Source organism: Homo sapiens, chromosome 1 (assembly GCF_000001405.40).
Source record: "Homo sapiens chromosome 1, GRCh38.p14 Primary Assembly".
In the NCBI taxonomy this organism is placed as follows: Eukaryota; Metazoa; Chordata; class Mammalia; order Primates; family Hominidae; genus Homo; species Homo sapiens.
The window spans coordinates 215,749,762-215,767,341 of record NC_000001.11 but is presented as its reverse complement, the minus strand read 5'-3'; the positions used below and the strand labels follow the sequence as shown (position 1 = coordinate 215,767,341).

Here is a 17,580-nt window from a genome sequence, read left to right as displayed (position 1 = left end):
AGAAGCAATTGCAGAGACTGGGATGGTTAGCCTGGAGAAGAGAAGACTCAGGGGGGATTTGATAACTGTCTACAAACATTTGAAGAGCTGTCATGTGGAAAAGAAATTAGATTTGTTCTATATGTCCCCAGGGGTGAAAGTGATAGAAAGATTTCATCACAATATAAGGAAGGACTTTCAAACAAAATAAGGATAACTCTAAGGCTCTCTAAAGATGTAATGGGCTCTTTGAGAGACGGAGTGCTCTGATCCGATAGGCAGGACAGCCTTTTCAATGACATCTTGTATAGGGAATCAAGAGAAGGGTGGATGGTTCACATGAATTTTAAGGTCTTTTCTATGGCTGAGAATTTATTAGTTTATCAGTGATAAATGAAATTTTGCCCAATACTTAGCCTCTTATGAGGTTCAGACCTTCTTTAAAGAGTGTTTTAGAGAGTACTCTTAAATGTTTTGGCTATCATATCTACAACTCTGCATGTTACTTCTGGTACTTAATTGATAATAAATAATCCTCTTAAGGTGCACTTTATTTCTTGCTTGCTTTTTCTAGGTCTCCAGCCATACACCAACTACAGCTTCACTCTTACAGCTTGTACATCTGCTGGGTGCACTTCAAGCGAGCCTTTTCTAGGTCAGACACTGCAGGCAGCTCCTGAAGGTAATGAAACAATATCCATGGTTTGAGGGAAGAAATTTTCACATAGCATTTTGAGGTGGAATCTGTAAACTCCTTCATAACAAATAAGGAAGAGGCAATAAAGTTGATAGGTACAAAATAAAATAGCATTCTAGGTTCCCATTCTTCAGGCTTGATTCATGTAGGTGTAGCTTCCCAAGGTCAGTTCGCTTTCAATTCTTTAACCTTTATAGAGTTGATTTTCTGTGGAAAGAAGAATTATTGAAATTTTTCAAAAACTCAGATGTTAAATATTTTGGGAGCATCTAATATATAATAAGCACCATGCTCACTGCTGAAGTTGTTTAAAATGTTCTCTGCCCTCAAGACTGACAATCAAGTAGAAGTGATAGGAGAAAGATCTGTATGAAGAGAGAAAATCTGAAAGTTGATGTTAAGAAAGAACAAATGAATAGAGTGCTAAGGTTGGCCTGAAGAGGAAGAGATAGAAACCCATCGATGACATCAAAAAAGGCTTTATGGAGCAGATGACTTCTGAGATGGACCACAACAAACAAGGATTTTGACAAATGAACAGTGATGTACAGAGATGTACAACCAGACACAGTTGGAAGGAATGTAAGATGGAATCATCACCTTAGAAGGCAAATTGCAAATGTCTATCACATTTAAATTGTTAATTTCCCATGATACAGCTGTTCTATTTTCATCATTTATGCCAGAAACTGTGCCACACTGCTCAAGGAGGCATGCACCAGGATGTTTATTGAAGCATTTATTTTGTTTAATAGCAAAATGTTGGGAGCAATTTTAATGTTTGTGAGTAGAATTGCTAAATAAATTCAGCTATTCTCATATTGTGGAATTCCATGCACCAGTATAAAAGAATGAGATGATCAGTTCATACAAAGAGGAAGTTATGACATTATATTAATTTATAAGAACAAACTGAGAAAATGGCATTTATTGTTAATGGTTAATAAATAAATGCATTTAAAAATCCAGGAAGTATACACACCAACTGATAGCAATGGTTACCCATGTGTTCAGAGGTGGGATGGCTGGTGTCATTTACTTTCAAAAGAAAAATATACTCAGTGGCATGTGTTAGTGATCAACTAATTATTTTGTTAATCTTCATTATCTGCCTATTTTTCATATGGGGAAACCAAGGCATAAATAAGTTTCTAAACAGAAATGCAATGTTAATTACCACCATAGACTCCTGAACTACTTGTCCATTACTCTTCTAATGAAATGGATTGTTGTACCTCGGAATATTAGACCTGAACTTCCTACCAGTAAATGGGGAATAAAATGGAAAATTCCACATATGGGGCATATGGCTCCTCACCAGGAATTCACTAATGATGTTTTCTATATAAAGAATGTTTCATGTCAAAAAGCTTAGTGTTCCTTTGAAAGGAAGAAACCAGCAGTGGATTTTTTGGAAAGGTAAACTATCAAATGGATACTTTGATGATAATGGATAATTTCTAAAGGATCTATCAACCAGATTTGGCTGAAACTCAACCTGATAAAATAACAGAATCTCTTGTTCCATTTCTCTCTACCAAATTCATATATTTAAATTCATTGGAAATATGAAATTTTCCCAACAAAATTTCTTGAAATGACTTACATTTTATGACTTAAAAATTGTAGCTTTCAACAGTGCAGGGTAATGTGATATGAGAAATGCCCTTGATTTCTTTTTTTTTTTTAACTTTATGTATCTTTCCTCTAACACAAATAATCATGCAAAGAAATAATAGATGAAATGGACTTTCCTCTGCAGAAGAAACATGGATTTAGGGCCATTTTCTGGCTGAATAAGTGCCATTTATATATAACCCATATATGAAATAAATATAGTGTGAATGCTTAACTTGGGAACACCTTAGCAATCACATTAAGTTCTGTTGTTTTACTGTAAAGTGAAAACAAGTATACCACTTTAGATTATCCACCCAGACATAACTAATTATAAAATGCCATTTTCGAAGTACATCAGATATAATTTGAAGATCTCATATTTGAGTATTTTAAGTGGACATGGAAAGAATTAAAAGAAGTGTTTATGCATAGCCAACGCAAGCTGAGCTCTTTTCACTTGCCTCTCATTTTCAATCTAAGAAAAAGTCAATGTACATTACAACCTCATTGACAAGTTGGACACAGTTCTCTACAGTTTTATCCTCATAGAAAACTGTGTACCTGTACCTTTAGTCAAATAACAGGAAGATTTTGAATTGAATTATTACTCTTTTTTTCTACAATTACTGCCATCCATGTGAGTTCTAATTCATTTTAGAGATAAATCATGCAAAATTGCAGACATACTTTCCTCTAGCATTGATAATGTGGAAACAGAAAGGAAAAGAAGACCCAGTCTTTTTCAGTTCATTCCAGATTCCTCTTCCTCTGCCCTTCTTTTAACGTTTACACACCCTTGGTTTTTTCCTCTACTCTTTACACTATAGCACCCAGGCTCTTCTGGAATTTTCGAGTACTGGCTTTATCTCCTAATGAAGGCTGAGAGCTACCAAATACTAAAGCTCTCACCAAAGCTACACTTATGGATTTAAATCCTATGTATTTACTGGTCTACTACATGTTTATATTTAGGTGTTTTTCAAAAACTTTAACCTCAGTACTTCGCCACTTAATTCTTCCACTCCACTCTACTCCTCAACTTGCTTTTCTTCTCTCAAATACTACCACCTACCTATCACCTAAGCCCAAAGCTTGACACTCTTGATGGCTCCCTTTTCCATATGTAATACATAATTTTTTATAAAATCTAATTAGTTTTAAATCTTAAGAATTTTTTTTAAAAAAATTGTTCTTCTTTCCCGTCCCTTTTAACACTGCCTTAGTTCAGATCCTCATAGCTATAAGAAGAGAAGTTCTCTGGATCCTCCTAACTAGGATCCCTTCCTCTAGTCATTTTTCCTCTTTCTCACATCCCACATCCTGATTCTTTTTCCTCTTTTGACAAAATAAGAATATGTCATATTATTCACCTCCATAAAGTCCCATTTCCTTCCAGGAAGACATACATCCATATCTCCTTAGCAAAGCAACATGGACCCCTCAAGTTTTAACTTCCATCAATTTTTCAAGGCTTTCCATCTTCCCCACATGCCATGCAGTGCACCAGCCATGCCAAGGTATGTGCAGTCCTGCCATCCTTGCCCACATTTCTACGACTTTATGTGGGTTCCCCTCAGCCTGAACTCCCTTTCCCTACATCCTCACTCAGTTAACGCTCACCTTTTCAAAACTTGGTTCACGCATCTCCCCTTCTGGAAATCTTCCACTACAACCACCTACTTCCTACCCATCTCCACTTCTCCCCACAGTCTGTGTCAGGTTACCCTTTCTAAGTGTTCTAACAGCTACTGTGCCTCCTTCTCTTAAAGCATGTATCATACTGGAGTACAACTTTTTATCGACTCATCTTTATTCACCATGATACATGAACTCCATGAAGGATAAGAAAAAGTCTTTATCTTCCCATCCACAGTGCCCAACACAGAAAATGACACAAAGTCGGGTAGAATGTTGAGTGAATAAATTAACAAATACTAAATTGTCCAGAATTCAGTGCATCCCTGACATCAGCTAATACAAAATTTGTTCCTATCACCAGATTTCAGGAGAAAAACAATCCACAATAAATGCTGGGAATTTTGAATTGGAATGAAGATTTGTAGGGACATGAGAAGTGGGTAATATGGCATGCAACTCAAGATAAATTTAAAACAAATACAGTAGACATGTTCTACTTGTTGTCACTGTGTAAAAAGGCCCACCAAGGTTTAATTCTACCTTTCCCCTTTTAACCTTGCAGCTAGTTTACCCCACCCCATCCTCCTAGGTTACTTCCCTCCCTACTATTCATTTCTTTCACTTGAACTGCCTCAGTTTGCTCCCTTATTATATAGAATAGGTTTTTCTGGTTTCACCTGAGACTTAGGCCAGAGTTACATGGTGAAGGGGACAAATTCCCCACCTCGGACTCATTAATATATCTCACCAAAGATTGTCTTACTCTAGCAAAGATTTCTTGCAGCTGCCAAGATAACGATGTCCCCATATCACCATCCAAGTAAAAATGCAGCACTTTCTAGTTATATATACATTTGAACTCCATATTATCAATCAAACCAATGGGCATGGAGTTATTACCAACTTGAAAAGAGCTTTTGCCAGCCGGTATAAATAATAAACTCAACTTTTACCTAAAGGTTGAAACAAACCCAAAATTATGTTTCATTTTATTTTATTAGCTCCTCCACATCCACAGGCTTTATTGACTGGTTCAAATCAGAAACCAAGCAATAGCCATTCTAGTACCTTGGTGATTTTTAATACATCGTTCAAGGTGAAAAAGATATAACTGCAGGAAGCAGATTATGAATTAAGATTTTATACTTTATCTTTTGAATCAACAAATTAATATCACATTTAAATCAAAACTCTGATTGGTTGAATCATCTAGCAGCTGTTGGCAGAGAAACCCACATACAAATGTGTACTATGATTTGTGAATTTTACCAAATATCTAGAACAGAGCAGACTCTCAGAACAAAATGAACTACTTTCTTCTCAGGAATATATTGCTCCTTAGAAAGTTGGGATGTTTGAGACATTTTTGAAATCTATCTTGTTTCTTTCAGGATGCTGCTAAATAAATTGCATTTTGTTCTTCTGAAAATTTTTCTTCTAAAAGTGTCAAAATCTTAACCTGTACGGAGTAACTTACACAGGAGATACAATCAAGCAAAAGCTATTGATTACAGGGAACCTAATATTGAAATGAGTTTTTTTTAATCTCCAGAAGAGATTTACAGTGTCTAATCAGAGTATAACTAGATGACAACATAAAGTGGTAGGACTGAACTTTCTCACTGCTGGCTTCTCCATCGATGGATTTGTACATCTATAAGAGTACTTGAATGTTTGACATTGAATTACAGTTGTTTGTGTGTATATTTTATTTTTTAGACAGAAGTATAAACTCCTTGAAAGTGAGCCACATCTTAGTCATCTTTGCATTCCCTAGAACTGCCTGCAGTGCTTAGCATAACATTTTGCAGGAGATATATTTACAATAAATCTACTCATTAAACATGTATTAGGCATTGTGTTATCCATAGAGATACATTGACGAATAAGACAGAGAAGATCCCTGCTACCATGGAACTAACTTTGCATCAAAGTAAGAGAAAGGAGAGGACTGCACCATCATATAATGTAAAAATAATAGTATGTCAAAGAAAGAATTTGATTATGATGTCTTGAGTGTTAAGAAGGAAATAGAAAAGGCCATGCGATACAGAGAAACTAGGTTGGGACTCCATTAGATGGGGTTCAAGTTAGAGTTAAGAGAGTGCTAAAATGAGGCCTTATCAATAAGGTGATAGTTACACAAGTAACTGAACTATGAGAACATATGAGAACATTCTACATATAAGAACAATTCTACATATGAGAACAAAATGCAAAAATGTCATGCTGTAAGGGAACAAAGGTGTTCCAGGCCAAAGGAACCGAAGTTCAAAAGCCCAGGTGTAGGAAATAACTAGAAGCATTCTAGGGATAGAAAGGAATCTGGTATGGCCACAGCTCTGTGAATGGTGCAAAGAATGCTGCCACTTAGGCCAGAGCCAATAAAATGTGGGACCATATGGGTCACAAAAAGAAATTGGGATTATATTATATGAATAAATTCAAAAGGGTTATATGGTTCATAAAGATGACACTGGCTTACATATTCACTTTATACACTTTTACAAAGATTCCAATGGAATATGGAAGGCCAAGATTTCGACATGGAGGCAAGTTTAGAAGCTATGACAGGAGTTTATGAGAGAGAGAAACGTGGCTTGGACCAGGAGAAGTGAAAGTAAAGATACAGGAAAGTATACATTATAGAATCTTCTGGGCTTTATGTTAGATTACATTTGGGCGTATGAAAGGTGAAAGTCTCAGGGATCATTATTTTTGTGTGTTTTGTCCAAGAAAATGGATAGATGGACAAGATTGGGAGGTACATAGATTGTAGACAGGAAAAACAAGAGTTCTGTTTTGCATGTTTTTAGTTTTTGATATATCATCAGTCATCCAAATGGAGGTGTCAAGCAAACAGTTGGATTCTTGAGTCTCACACTCAGAGTTTCAATCTAGAGATATGCCTTTGGGGGTCTTCAGCATATGCATATTTAAAACCCATACTGAATGAAGATCACCTGGGAAGCCGGTGTTGGAAGAGAAGAGAAGAGAGAAAAAGAAGAAGAGAAAGGAAGAGAGAAAAGCAGAGGGGAGAGAGAGAACAGAGCATACTGCTCTGAGGCATTACATCCTTTCAAGGTCCAGGAGGGGAAGAGATCCCAGTAAATGAGGCCAGAGGCATAGCCAGAGAGGAAAAGAGAAGCATCACACTGATGTGCAAGAAGAAGGGAAAGTGCACTCATTTGTTGAATTGTATAATTCAGGTACATACTCGATTATGCTTACTTTCACATATTCCAGGTAAATTGTATTAAAAAGTTTGAAATCCCCAGATGATCTCTCAGGCCTTGATTTAAAATACTCTCAGAGTGACAACCAAGGCAGAGAAATTATCCACTGCTAGTTGTCTGACATTCACTTTCCAAAGGCAATTCAAAAATAAAATAATCAAAGTAATAAAAATATATTTACACCAATTATGTATTTTTGTTCCATACAGTTAGATATTTTTTAAAATCAACAGAAAAAATATCACAGTTCATGGGGGGGATGGTGTGACTTTTGATACACTGTTTATTTTCTCCTAACAATAAAACCTCATTGCGTTATTCTTGCCAGGAGTTTGGGTGACACCTCGACACATTATCATCAATTCTACAACAGTGGAATTATATTGGAGTCTGCCAGAAAAGCCCAATGGCCTCGTTTCTCAATATCAATTGAGTCGTAATGGAAACTTGCTTTTCCTGGGTGGCAGTGAGGAGCAGAATTTCACTGATAAAAACCTGGAGCCCAATAGCAGGTAAACTAAAAGAAAACTTTACCAATCATACAGCAGGATTTGTACATTTCTCTGGGTTGATAAGAAATGCATGTCCCACTGAAAGTTGTTAAATTGTTTAATTAACTTCCTCATTCATTGGCCATTCAATAACTGATGAAAGTGCTAAATCATTCAGTCTTTAGACTTCACGAAATTTCTTAAAAATATAAATAATTCGTCTTCTGTTTGACATAAAAGCATGAGAATTTTTAAATATACAAAATACATGAAGTATTAAACTTTAAAAATTACCAAATTATCTTCAAAAACACGCATCCTTGAACTAGCAATAAAAGAGATGTAAAGAGTTTTGTTTTCCGTCAACTCTCTTTTCTTCTTGTACAGTGTTTCTCTACTTGCTACACCACATATAGTTGTGAATAGTTTTAGAGGAAAAAGTTCCACATATTTGCATTTCATTCCCATTCATTTCTCAGCAGAGACAAAAACATATCTTAAATCAACAGATGTTTTACTGTAGAAAGTAGAGATCAATTTCATTTTATTGTAAGGAATAGCAGATCAATTTAAAAACATCTTTCTCTAAACATATTTCCCTGAACTCCAACCTATTTAAAAATGGGGAAGATTAATTTGAATCCTCCACAATCCACCAGCACACTCCAAGACTTTCCTGAAATCTTCAAGAAAAGCTATGAATTACTAGCAGGTTAAAAATAAATTTAAGAGCAGCTGAAATTACAATGGCTTGGAGACAATGTTGCCTGTGCAAGAAAAACTACCAAGTCAAGTTTCTGGAAAGGGGGCAAAGAGTTTGCAATTTGTCACAAATTTAGGACTAAGCAATTGATACAAAAACTAGTAATCATTGTTCAAGTCTCTTGTGCATGGCCTTACCACAATTCTTCTTTCTTTTTAAATATAGATACACTTACAAGTTAGAAGTCAAAACTGGAGGTGGCAGCAGTGCTAGTGATGATTACATTGTTCAAACACCTATGTCAACACCAGAAGAAATCTATCCTCCATATAATATCACAGTAATTGGGCCTTATTCTATATTTGTAGCTTGGATACCACCAGGTAAAAAAAAAAAAGAAGTATGTGTGTGTGTGTGTAAACATTTTAAAGGAATTAATTAGAGATAAGAATAGAACTGTTAATTTAGTAAATCAGAAAGACATAGTCGGTCTCCTGGATAAATATGAACAGAAAAATCTAAACCACACTTCTAAGTGTATAGACGCATGAGTACATACATACATACGTAGAGATATAGGTATCTAGATGTCGATGTAGATATGTAAGTATATACAGCTTTCTATGAAAGCAACACTTTCAAGTACAAGAGACTAAAAATCTTTTTACTCATCTATTTTTTTTTTTTTTTTGAGACGGAGTTTCACTCTTGTTGCCCAGGCTGGGGTGCAATGGCGCAATCTCAGCTCACCACAACCTCCGACTCCTGGGTTCAAACAAATCTCCTGCCTCAGGCTCCTGAGTAGCTGGGATTACAAGCATATGCCACCATGCCCGGCTAATTTTGTATTGTTTTTAGTAGAGACAGTGTTTCTCCATGTTGGTCAGGCTGGTCTCGAACTCCAGACCTCAGGTAATTCACCCGCCTCAGCCTCCCAAAGTGCTGGGATTACAGGCATGAGCCACCACGCCCGGCTTACTCTTCTATATATCCAATGCAAGTCATATAGGTCAGAATTACCTTGAACATTCATTTCCATGGGACTCCTTAGATTGGATCATTGACATTATACCATTCCTTTTATATTAAATCAGTGAATGGGGAGTTTGGAAAGACAGTTGTTCACTTCACCCATGTACCTTGGGTTGTGACCACTTATGGTAGCTGCATTTTTCCTCTGTAAGCTGAATAGCCTTCATTGAGCCATTTAGTCATTATTGGGTTGCCTTGTGACTTAGTGCAACATTATATTTTGAGGTAAGCACCATCCTCAGGTAAAATCCTGACTGCATTAATACTGTGGAGTAAAGAGTAGAGTGAGAAAGGACATATGGAGGACTTTTCTTTCCAAGTAAAATTTAAAAATGGTTAAGATGTTAAAAACACTTCAAAATTATGTGACTTTATTTTTAATATCTAGTCTTAAGATGAAATTGTGACACGCCCTTTTTGTCGCCATCAGAATAAGTTTAGCCACAGTTCAAAGTGGCACCAAATGGTTAACAGCCATTTGAGCCATCGGTAGATCCATTCCATAACATAATTAACATAAGCCTATTTTTATTGAATTGAACAGTCAAAACAGGTACTATTGTATAGCTATAAAGAGAGCGTAAAGACCTAATACATAAAACTTAAGTTTCTTATAGACCAACACCTTCTGCTATAATCTAAGATCAAAGAGAAAAAGTTATTTTCCCCTAAAATTCAAAAGAAAGTTTACAAAGAGCTTTATAAGCAAAGAAAAATATAAGTTGCTCTAAGATATTAAATGTACATGATTTCACCCACTTTTGTTTAAAATAAATGTGCAGCATATTAAACAAAATATAAAGGAATAATTAGTAGTGGCAGAATGCATCACAAAGTGCTATAATCTTTATGTTGTAAGAGCATAGATATTCTTGAACTCTGTTCTTAATTTCGATAGAGGAAAAGACATATCTTCTGCTGTGGGAAATATATAAATTTACAGCCCCCTTTACAGAATTTATTTCTACTTTTGTTTAATTTTATTTATTTATTTATTTATTTATTTGTTTGTTTGTTTGTTTGTTTATTTTGAGACCGGGTCTCTCTCTCTGTCACCCAGGCTGGAGTGCAGTGGTGCAATCTCAGCTCACAGCAACCTCCGCCTCCCAGGTTCAAGCCTCAGCCTCCAAAGTAGCTGGGACTACAGGCACACACCACCATGCCTGGCTAATTTTTGTATTTTTAGTAGAAATGGGGCTTCACCATGCTGGCCAGGCTCGTCTCGAACTCCTGACTTCATGATCCGCCCACCTTGGCCTCCCAAAGTGCTGGGATTACGGGCATGAGCCACTGCACCTGGCCACGATTTTTTAGTATATTTCTCCTTGGCATTTTTATTGTGCTGTTGTGTTTTTGCACCACAAAATAAAATGAAGCTGGATAGAGCCAATCTAATACCATATTTAGCCTATTGACAAGAAAGTTTTAGATTTAGACCAGGGTCTTCTACAATCCAAATTCTCCAAGAGCAATACGGGAAATTTCAGGGTGATGAGCAAGGTTGATGATTTCTTTGCCATATGACTGGGAAGTCCCATGGTTTATCAAAATATCTGTTATTTTAACATTATTTAACATATCAGTTGCCATTGCTAATCTGAAGACTTCATGTTCAGTACGAATTTGAAAATATCTTTATTTTATGACTATGCAAGTAAGAGAAATGAAAAAGCCTGGATTCATATCCCAATACTGCCACCTATTAGCTGAACTTAAACGGTCTCTAGGCCTCAATTTTCTCCATCTGTGAAGTGGAGATAATGATGATACCTACATGTAGGCAGGTAGGGTTGCTGTAAAGATCAAATGAAGTAATTTATATGATAAATATATTATCTAGTTCTATATAATATTCTATAGATACCAATGGTGATTGTTTGAAGAATTATTTTTTTATCTTTAATTGCTCATTTTTAAAACGTATTTGTTCCAACATTTGCTGGGTCTCAAAGCCCCAATTTTCAAAATAATAAAACCACCTACTGAGGATTGGATTAGTAAATTTTCAAGACCTCTTTCAAATTTCCCAGCGTGTCATTTTTTTCTTTGAATTCAATATCACACTTAAATGTTTAATGTATCATGTTTCCATTTAGAAATGTATCATTGTGGAATAAAACACAACTTTCACTTGTTTAATATGACCTTAACTCTCACATACCTCAGGCTTTGTATAAATTGTTCATTCTGGTCCAGCCTAGGGGATATTGTAGAATGCTTTACACACTAACTCTGACCATTTAACCAATGGTTAATAAATCTATAATATTCAGACCTGTCAATCTTATAGTTTAAGATGCACAGAATCCATTTCAGAAACCATATAATATAAGGAAAGATTAAAATCTTCAATTAAATCTTTTTCCTGGTGTCTAGAAGGATTTCAAACTCAGTAAACAGTCAGATGATTTTGACTTGTGTATAATCTACAGTTGATTTTATTGGAAAGTACCTCATGCTGTGTTTTGATTTGGATAATAAAAACATGTTTCTATTCCTGAATAGTCACAAATATATATATTTTAAACAGAAAGAAAATAAATTTGTAAGTGGAGATTGTTTATTTGCTCACAATATAAAGAGTTTTCTAGGTATTCATCATACTCCCTGCCATTACAAAATGACTACATCACAGACAGAGCTGAATAATGGGCAAAACAGTCCATGCCTGCAGTTCCCAAACCTGAATGAGCATTAGAATCACCTAGGAAGCTTGTGTAAAGACAGATTCTCAACCCCAAATTTACTGAATAAGAATCTCCTGGGATGGAGTCAAGAAATCTAGAGCTTTTTAAAAACTCCACATATGACTTTGATGTGCTACCAAGTGTTTTTGAAATAGTAGCCCAGAGGACCAAGGAACAGATCTAGGTATTGCTGAAACCAAATGATTCTGGGAGAACAATGTTTGACTGGGTGTGTAGTGGCGTGCCAAGACTAGAAGAGTTAATTGTGGAAAATGGCAAGCCGCTGAAGGGAAAACAGCCACGTGACAGCAATGATCTCTGCAGCATGAAGAAACTAGTAACTAGAAAGCTTTACCTACCCATCCAAAAATCTAAAAGGAATAGATGTGATTTACCAAAAACATGGATCACACTCACCAAGTGAGACTGGTGAATTACAATAACTGTTTTCTCTGAAAACATGAGTCCGCCAGTTTCTCTTGAATGTCTAAAGCAAGCTTATCCAACCTAAAGCCCAGGATGGCTTTGAATGCCACCCAACATAAATTCAAAAACTTTCTTGGGATCTTTGCAATTATTTGTTTTAGCTCATCAGCTATTGTTAGTGTTAGTGTGTTTTATATGTGGCCCAAGACAATTAATCTTCTTTCATTGTGGCCCAGGGAAGCCAAAAGATTGGACACTCATGGTCTAAAGCCAAAATACTGGCTAAATTGTATTTGTTTTTTTAAATATGCATTTTTTTTTTTGTGGTCAGTGTGAACAGAGTAACCTTAGACAGGTAAGCTGCTGGGAAAAAAAATGTCTATGTGGTTACTTGGCAACTGAAAAATTACCTAAGCAATTAACTGAATTTTCAGTTTTCAAACTATTGTTCTAATGCTATAAATAAACTAAGCCTTAGTACATGTTTATAAGTCCTACTAGTGAAAGGGTAAGGTCTAGGGAATAGTGACAATACCCAGGGGAAGAGTACCCGTGATACTGATAACAAATGTCGTGTACATACGTTCATATTACTTGGTGTATTTGCCATTTGTTAAATTCCTACTATATGCCAAACACTGATAAGCTCCTTCTCTGCCTTACCTCAGTTAATTTTTATGCAAACGCTAGAAGACAGGTAATAATATCATTATCCCCATCTTAAGATAAGAAATTCGAATCTCAAAAAAGTAATATAATATGCTCAAGGTCACACTGCAGAGCCAGGATTCAAATTCAGGTCTACTGTCTGCTACTGCCTTTTAAGACCAGTTCCTTTCTGTCTTTGGCTTAACCCTTAAATCCAAATCGACTTTTCATTTCTTGACCAAAGTCTCTCAGATTTATGATGGATCAACTATGATGTTTGAAATAGTAGCCCAGAGGGCCAAGAAACAGAGCTGGGTGTTGGTGAAAACCAAATGATTCTGGGAGAATATTTTTTTTTAATTTTTTTTCTTTTATTATACTTTAAGTTTTAGGGTACATGTGCACAACGTGCAGGTTTGTTACATATGTATACATGTGCCATGTTGGTGTGCTGCACCCATTAACTCGTCATTTAACATTAGGTATATCTCCTAATGCTATCCCTCCCCTCTCCCCCAACCCCACAACAGGCCCCGGTATGTGATGTTCCCCTTCCTGTGTCCATGTGTTCTCATTGTTCAATTCCCACCTATGAGTGAGAACATGTGGTGTTTGGTTTTTTGTCCTTGTGATAGTTTGCCGAGAATGATGGTTTCCACCTTCATCTGTGTCCCCACAAAGGACATGAACTCATCATTTTTTATGGCTGCATAGTATTCCATGGTGTATATGTGCCACATTTTCTTAATCCTGTCTATCATTGTTGGACATTTGGGTTGGTTCCAAGTCTTTGCTATTGTGAATAGTGCCGCAATAAACATACATGTGCGTGTGTCTTTATAGCAGCATGATTTATAATCCTTTGGGTATATACCCAGTAATGGGATGGCTGGGTCAAATGGTATTTCTAGTTCAAGATCCCTGAGGAATCGCCACACTGACTTCCACAATGGTTGAACTAGTTTACAGTCCCACCAACAGTGTAAAAGTGTTCCTATTTCTCCACATCCTCTCCAGCACCTGTTGTTTCCTGACTTTTTAATGATTGCCATTCTAACTGGTGTGAGATGGTATCTCATTGTGGTTTTGACTTGCATTTCTCTGATGGCCAGTGATGGTGAGCATTTTTTCATGTGTCTTTTGGCTGCATAAATGTCTTCTTTTGAGAAGTGTCTGTTCATATCCTTCTCCCACTTTTTGATGGGGCTGTTTGTTTTTTTCTTGTAAATTTGTTTGAGTTCATTGTAGATTCTAGATATTAGCCCTTTGTCAGATGAGTAGAATGCAAAAATTTTCTTCCATTCTGTAGGTTGCCTGTTCACTCTGATGGTAGTTTCTTTTGCAGTGCAGAAGCTCTTTAGTTTAATTAGATCCCATTTGTCAATTTTACCTAGGCAATACCATTCAGGACATAGGTATGGGCAAGGACTTCATGTCTAAAACACCAAAAGCAATGGGAGAATAATATTTTACTGGGGGCATCAAAACCAGAAGAATTATTTGTGGAAGTGGTGAGCCCCTGAAGGGAAAATATCCACATTGCAACAATGACTTTTTGCAGCGTGAAGGAAGTAGTAACCAGAAAGCTTTACCTACACATTCTAGAAGGAATAGACGTGACTTAAAACCAGATTCCAGGTGTAGGAAGATTTTAGTTAGGTGGGAGGGGAGGAGAGTCACTTCTCAAATTGCTGTAAAGAGATCATCCAAATTCTATTTTAAAGCCTTGGTAAATATTCCCCTGTCTCCCATGTAAACCTTCATCCACTTTACCTTATTCTTTCTTGATAAATGTCAGTAGTAACATTACCAAAACACTCTAAGCTCTAGAAAATCAAGATCTCTAGCCTTTTGTGTATCATTTGAACCTCTAAATCAGGTGACATACAAACAACATATCCTTATAAAAATTTTGCTGAATTAATGGAGGAACACAATGGTGAGCGAGCCTCCACAATTTATTATGCAGTCAAATGTAAATTGTGGATATCCTGCCATTTAAAATTACTCAAACATTTGATTTTCTCTTAAAGTCATCCTTCGTCTACATTAACTTAATCTTAAACAGAGACATACACACAAAGAGAGAGAGAGGCAGAGAGACAGAGAGAGAGAGACATTTCTTCTTTAATGACAAACAGAGCACATACACATATTTTCCAAAGACTGCATCTTGTCTTATGGATGTGCAATTTTTTCACCTTTCAGAAAAGGTGGTATTGTTTTCTAACATGGAATGGGCTTCACTATTTAGTTGTCCTCTGGCCTTGGGCAAGCTGCACAATGTTTCTCAAATTCAGGTTTCTCATCTGTACAAGGAGAAATTAAATGCCTACCTTATATTGTTATATGAAGTAAATGAGATGGCATGGTAAAACTCCATTATTGTTTGAACCTTTAGGTAATGTAAACAACCTTAGATTATTCCTAAGCATTCCCTCTCACCTTTTACCAGCTCTCAACATTGGGTCAGGACTTTTGTATTCATATTAAAGAGAACATTTATATTAAAGAGAGCAAAGGATATATGTTACCTTAATAGGTGAAAAATTATGGAAAATTAAATAGCAAATGCTTCATGGAACATAAGTGGTTTACTCAGAATGACAATGGAGATAGATATCCCTGCTGTTTAAGAATCTAAACATTCAAAATTATTTAAACTCTGAAGGTAATAATGAGTCTTTCTAATTTATCGAGATGATGACTATATTTTGAACTGTTCTAGCCCTTAATCATGTTCTAATTAACAATGCCATTGCATTTAACACATACTTTTTCTCACTAAGGATGGTGAGTCATTTAGGTTTAACGTACAATATAGAAATACTGGTGCTTTTCCTTTAACATTAATATCTTACTCCATTAAAGAAGGAATTAGCAAGAATTCTACTGATAAATAATTTTTATTAATATTGCTCTAGAAATACAAATTTTTTTATTTATCATTTTGATTAAAGGTTAGCTGGCCATAATATGGTCTATTTATGGACATTAGACATCTTGGCATTCAGTTAACTCATCAGCTGCAGTGTATTATTTCAGATACTATGCATTTAAAGTCAAAATTTACATTAATCTTTCTAAAGGATTCACATTACATTAATTGGGATGATTCAACATTGACAGTTGTTTCACTTTTCTTAACTTATAAATGCAATAACCAAATGACAAGGAGTGGTGAGTTTCAGAAGAAAATGTGAAACTCACTTCAGTGGTTTGTATTTTATTTTGGATATTTTAAAATGTATCTTTCATTACTGAGCTTTAATATATGCTAGGCATTTTGCTAAGAGATTAACATATATCTCATTTAGTGTTCATAATAACTTAATATAGTATGTCCTATTGTTTTGCTCATTTTACTAATGAAAAAGGTCAATTTAGACACTCCAAGCTATTTTCTCTAGGTTATTCTTCAAGCAGGTGTCAGAGCAGGGCTGACCCTCATGGGTGTGAGTCCAAGTCTGACTCAAAACTACTATTCTATATTTTCTCAATATTTTTCCACCTAAACGTGCGGAAAGCAAATGATTTTTCATGAGTTCTACTGTAATCCCATTTAAAAGCTAAAAAACTGATTTTTGCTTTATATATAGGAAGTATGAATGAGGACAATGTAATTCAGGATCAGTCGACCCAGTAACCCAATAGAATAATTTTATTTGTGGCTCAAAACTTCATGAGATGTAATTCATTTGCCTTTGGGTATATTGATTCCTCTAGTCATTTAACTAACGTGGAAATTATTTCTGAGCCCCACTCAGGGGCAAAACATGATGCTGGACACCCTAAAAGTTACAAAGAGGAATGAGACACTGTCCCTCTTGTCAGGAACCCTACCATCTAGTAAGGTAGAAAAGACATAAATGATAACTATTATACAACCAATGTTAAATTTCCATACAATTGGTATGAATGAGTTCAAGAGGGTCCCGTTTTACTTCTGTTCCCCCAAAAAGGCCTAATCAAGGTTTCCCTACCTATACAGTGGAGAATTTAGCTCGATTTGTTAAAAGCACCATGTTAAGTGCAACCAAGTGTTTTGAAACAAATGCCTCTATCAAACCGAATTAATAGTTTTTCCTCTTAGAATTTTTCCTGTTCCAGCTCCTAAAAAAAGACTTAAAAAGGATTATTGATTGACTTGTCCCATTGTAAAGTATGCACCTGCTGTGAAATGAAGCCATGGAGAAAAATAGTTGAATAATTTAACTTTTTTATTTGTAAAGATAATCAGGGTTTTTCTGATTACATCTTAACTTCATAAATGTTAAATAACCTATCAGCATCTAGTTGTTGTAAATTATGAAAAGGAGCATTGCAAGGAATATTAACCAACGAAATCCTTGTTCTTTAGTGAACAAGAAAATGTGTTATGGCAGCTTGTCATTGTGCGACTGGTAACTTTGACACCAAATAA

At 35.7% G+C, this 17,580-nt stretch overlaps 1 protein-coding gene across 1 annotated transcript in view; it reads left to right on the top strand.

Annotated features, from left to right (window-relative positions):
• Window positions 1–17,580, top strand: part of USH2A (usherin) — an 800,558-nt gene that overhangs the window by 656,107 nt on the left and 126,871 nt on the right. The window contains exons 56-58 of the mRNA NM_206933.4: window positions 554–661; window positions 7,499–7,682; window positions 8,590–8,747. Of these exons, the coding sequence (NP_996816.3) occupies window positions 554–661; window positions 7,499–7,682; window positions 8,590–8,747 (450 nt within the window). The remainder of the gene's footprint in view (window positions 1–553; window positions 662–7,498; window positions 7,683–8,589; window positions 8,748–17,580) is intronic.